This window comes from Homo sapiens, chromosome 1 (assembly GCF_000001405.40).
Source record: "Homo sapiens chromosome 1, GRCh38.p14 Primary Assembly".
Classification (NCBI taxonomy): Eukaryota; Metazoa; Chordata; class Mammalia; order Primates; family Hominidae; genus Homo; species Homo sapiens.
In genome coordinates, this window is record NC_000001.11 from 247,487,892 (window position 1) to 247,493,113 (window position 5,222).

At 43.4% G+C, this 5,222-nt stretch overlaps 1 pseudogene across 1 annotated transcript; it reads left to right on the top strand.

Annotated features, from left to right (window-relative positions):
* The first annotated feature begins 201 nt into the window (after positions 1–201).
* On the top strand, positions 202–4,518 carry OR2W5P (olfactory receptor family 2 subfamily W member 5 pseudogene; annotated as a pseudogene). Its single transcript, NR_169841.1, has 2 exons — positions 202–500; positions 3,227–4,518. The product of NR_169841.1 is annotated as an olfactory receptor family 2 subfamily W member 5 pseudogene (transcript).
* The last annotated feature ends 704 nt before the right edge of the window (positions 4,519–5,222 follow it).

Below are 5,222 nucleotides of genomic sequence, written 5' to 3' on the forward strand. Positions count from 1 at the left end.
CCCTAGATGACTCCAAATCCCCAAGGTGAGATGGCATTGAAGTTGTCCTCCTATCCACTTAGTATGAACCAATCAAATGACATTGTCTATATTCTCAAAGCTCTTAGAACTAAGTGTGCTTTCCTTTATCCCTGGGGCTGGTCTGCCATCTCCTTGACCCTAGACTACCTGTATATATGGACGTGAGATAAAACATGTTGACTTGAAATGTGGCACTATGCCACACCACTCACTTAGCTTGTCATTCCTGCCCACAGTTCATCATTTCTCTTCCAAGCTCTGCTACTTAAAGGCTTATTAACACTTAAATGGGACAGACATTATTTTTGTGCTCAATCTCCTTTCAGGGTTTTCAGTGTAATTTCCTCTGGAAGATCCAGAAACTAAAAGGGACAAGAATTAGCTGCCTTATCCATGAGAAAACTCCTGGTTGGTCTCCGGAATTGAAGTAAGGAGGGTTGACAGAATCATAGGTCTTCTACTTTCTGGGAAGAACAAGGGTGAGATTTTAATACAAGCTTTGTCGTGGCAATGAGATTTATATCTGTATCTTCAGTCGTCTGTATGCAGATATAGAGTTATCTTGTAATAGTTTTGATTAGAGTTTATATCTGTTAGAACACCAGAGTAACGGGTTTCTCAATGCCAACTCGCAATTTGGAACTCCATTTTGGAAAAGAGACATTGTATCCAACTCGGAAACAATCAAATGCACCAAATTCTAGCAAAGTGTATCTAAAGTAGATTAGGAGTGATTATGTGATTATCCATTATCCATTTGTCCATTGCTAGCTGAGCCAATCCTAGGGCCTCTTCTGAGCCTACATGCACACACAATAAACCAATCTTTTTAGTCTCTTGATAAAATGATAGCTGATTTGAACAGAGAACCGTGTAATTCTGTTTTCGCACAAATCAAGCATTGCAAATCTCTGGCGATTTTGAGAGTGATCACAAGCTTCTCTCTGGAAACTGCTCATGATGATGGATTTTATTGTTAGGATTGTAATGTGTAGGTTAATGGGAGTGCTGTAATGAGTGATCAACTTTAAACAACTACAGCTTTAAGTGGGTGAGAAATAGGAACAGGGAGGAAGGCAGAATGAATGGAAACTTGGGTTAATGCATAGGGCTGGCACTATAAACCTTGCTCTGATATGAAGCTGTAGTGCAAGCATTGGCTATTCTTTCTTCTTCTCTATTATTGAGGTTGATCATCTCTAACATGGAGATTCTAATGCCTGGCCTGTCCACTTTGCAGGGCTGCTGTGATGATGGTCTGAAACTAGAGTGTGAAAGCTCTGTAAAAGTCTAATGTACGCTAATGTGAAAGGGTTGTGATTGTTTATGTTGTGCTCTATACCTAAGCCAGGCAAAAATAGCTCTATTGCTTGGCATTGTTAAATCCTTTTCAGTAAGCACAGAGAACCATTTGGTGGATTCTCCTCTATATGGGTTGGTACAGTTTTGGGCATAACCTTCAGCCAGAGAATCAACCCAATTCAGACCTTGGCGTCTAAGTTTTCAAAATTAGTAAGCATTTATAGTATTATGTGTCAACTAAACTATTAAAGGTATTTGGGCATTTCTAAGAGCTGTATTCCTTGCAATTTCATGGTTCTGAACTAAAGAGCTAAGAAATGTGAGAAGACAGGATGCATTAATTTATAGTTGAATACCTGTTAGGTGAAACAGAGAAGAGCCTCTGCATATTTGTCATAAGGGTGAGCAGTGGGACATTTTGGATTGAAAGAATAAAGCATTGTGAAAAAAAGTAGTTTTGAACAGATGACTACAAGGTAAATTTGCAGTTTTGGTTAAGGAGTCAGACCCTAAGTGATAAACTTTGCTGAGATCACCCAAAGTGATCACAACTTTATCACCCAAAGTGATAAAGTTGCTGAGCAATTTGTGTAGCTTGTCATTGCCACTCTTGAGGTCTCCTGAACCTGGGAGAAAACTTATGATAGGTCTGAGGATACAGAAGTACAAGTTGTTCATAATAACCAACACCTGTAAAATGTGTGTCTGTGAAAGTCTCCTTTGTGAGTACTCAGGAAGCCTCTGAAAGTCTTCCATTCTTTGACACTTGGCTGGCTACTTCTGATAGACCCTGCCTCTTTTACCCTTTCATAGGGCTTTGCAGAGGGTCCGGTGCCTGGACCAATGGATGGGAACTACAGAATTCCCAATTGCAGCTCCAACAGGATACAGCTCATAGCATGTCAGTTGTCAGGATGGACAGGTGGTGACAGCGGCTGCATAGACACATGTCCTTCAATGTGTTTCTGTGCCCTCATTCCCACAGCTTCCTTCTTGTGTGTTGCCCAGATGCCGTTTGCTATTATCATAGCAGATACAAGCCTGGGTGGATATTGGCTGTATAAGGCAGAGTCCCCATCAAAGCCCTTGGCTTAGACTGTGGAAATCCTCAATAGCTGAAAGTGCTCAGGGTATATACTCAGTGTCACCAGTTACATAGACATGTGAGGTCTGAGTGGGGACTTAGAGAAGATCTAGCCTCTTTCCCATGTTGCACAAGGAAAAGCCAAGTTAGAGAGAGATGAACTGAATAGCAGGCCATACATTTGCAGACCTGTGTTTTACAGAGGCAGAATTAAACCTATCATCACAGTCCTTTCTTGTAGGGTCAAAAATCACTGTGTTTCATCTTAATAAAATTACATGCCATTAAGGAGTTGCCTGGTACGTACATTCATGGCTTCCTTAAGCATCACCCATAAATGTGGTCCTTCATGACTTTGTATATACTACCTCCTCTTTGTGAAACATATTTAGCTCAATCTGCCACATGTCAAATTCTTACTTATTATTTGCAACAACCAAAAACAACTCTCAGACTCAGCAGTCTCCCTTAATACAAACTGTTCTACACAGGCCCTCCTGATCACTTGGGAGTGATCTGCATAATACTCAGCCTTTTAACGCATCTTCTTTTAGAGAACTTTCTCTTTCTCCCTTCTTTGTCATTATTCATACACATTATTCACCAAGGAGGGAAGCTCCAGAGTCAATTCATCCCGTCTTCCTGGGGCATCAGGCACACGACTTTGCATGTAACAGGTTTCAATAAGTCTATTCTAAAAAAGCAAAGAAAGGGCAAATGGCTCTCTTAACTTCACAGACCTGTAAATGGAAATTGGAGAGTGCCAGATCATCTGCATGTGCCCCCTTATCTAATTCTTTGGTTGTTTCTCTGTAATAGCTGGTGGATTATGGGAAAGGACAATGCCAGTTACCTACAGGCATTCATCCTGGTGGGCTCTTCTGATCGGCCTGGACTGGAGAAAATTCTCTTTGCTGTTATCTTGATCTTCTGCATCCTGACCCTGGTGGGCAACACTGCCATCATCCTCTTGCTGGTCATGGATGTCAGGCTCCACACACCCATGTACTTCTTTCTTGGGAATCTGTCTTTCTTAGATCTCTGCTTTACAGCAAGCATTGCCCCTCAGCTGCTGTGGAACCTGGGGGGTCCAGAGAAGACCATCACCTACCACGGCTGTGTGGCCCAACTCTACATCTACATGATGCTGGGCTCCACCGAGTGCGTCCTCCTGGTTGTCATGTCCCATGACCGCTATGTGGCCGTCTGCCGGTCCCTGCACTACATGGCAGTCATGCGCCCACATCTCTGCCTGCAGCTGGTGACTGTGGCCTGGTGCTGTGGCTTCCTAAACTCCTTCATCATGTGTCCTCAGACGATGCAGCTCTCCCGGTGTGGACGTCGCAGGGTGGACCACTTCCTGTGTGAGATGCCTGCTCTTATTGCCATGTCTTGTGAGGAAACCATGCTGGTAGAAGCGATTCACCTTTGCCCTGGGGGTGGCTCTCCTCCTGGTGCCGCTCTCCCTCATCCTCATCTCCTATGGCGTGATTGCAGCCGCGGTGCTGAGGATGAAGTCAGCAGCAGGGCGAAAGAAAGCCTTCCACACCTGCTCTTCTCACCTCACAGTGGTCTCTCTCTTCTACGGAACCATCATCTACGTGTACCTGAAGCCGGCCAACAGCTACTCCCAAGATCAGGGGAAGTTCCTGACTCTCTTCTACACCATCGTCATTCCCAGCATCAACCCCCTCATCTACACTTTGAGGAACAAGGATGTGAAGGGGACCATGAAGAAACTTCTGGGGTGGGAGAAAGGGGCTGGGGAGCCTCAACGAGGGGAACACTCTAGTAATGTAGACAGTTTGCTGGAGTTACTCTCTTAGATGTGTCTGTGGCCATGTGGAGAACTAATATTCAAGGAGTAGAGTGAACGCGGGTGGGAAAATGCTTTCGAGTTTGACCCCGTCCTCTGCCCTCTGGATGTGAAGTGGTTTCCTTCTGTTTGAAGTTGCCTGCTTCAGGATATCTCTGCTGTATCTTGCACTTTCCTTGTCTTTTTGATTTATCCACAACTGCTGGGGACTTACAAAACTAATTCAATCACCCAAAGGCACTGGGCAGTCTGCAGATTATGTCATGGATGTCAAATAAAAATTGAGACAACATGAGTGGCCTTTTCTTCAAGCCCTTTTATTTGCTTCTGTGGCAGTTTTTCAAAGAGAGAGGGGTCAACATCAGTAAAGTTATAGTGCCCTGTCCTGGATACAGGTTGGTTCTGTATGAGTGGGGAATGTCCTTTGAGTTGCTTTTTGAAAAAGCAGAATTTGCTCAGAGTTATTTGCATCTTCTCCTTGACCTTTTCGCATAGCCAAAGTACCTACAAAAGAGCTGACTCTAGTCAGGAATGCAAGCCTTTGGGAAGAACAGAGCAAATGATACACATCCAGATAGAATGAATTTGTTCTCCTTAGCAGATTAAACAGCTGTAAATATTCTACTTCAAAGAGAGCTGTCCTATACTCAAATTAATTACCACCCCCAACCTCCACAAATAACTCTGATGACCAATCTTATAAAATCAGTGCATATTGGAATTGGACATTACTAAAAGCAGTGTTTCCAAAACTTGATCGTGCATCAGAACGCTTAAGGCACAAATTTCCAAGAACTCTCCAAATTTCCTGAATCTACAATGCCAGGTGTGGGTCTAGGCATCTCTGTCTTTAAAAAGCTCCCTAGGTGTTACTGATGATAGATTTTGAAATCATTGTTTTAGAGATAATAAAAATCCAGCTCCTCACATTACCCAGGACTCTTCCTGTAGCATTCTGAATCCCTGGCTGCCTTCACTGGGTATGAATGATCCTGTGCA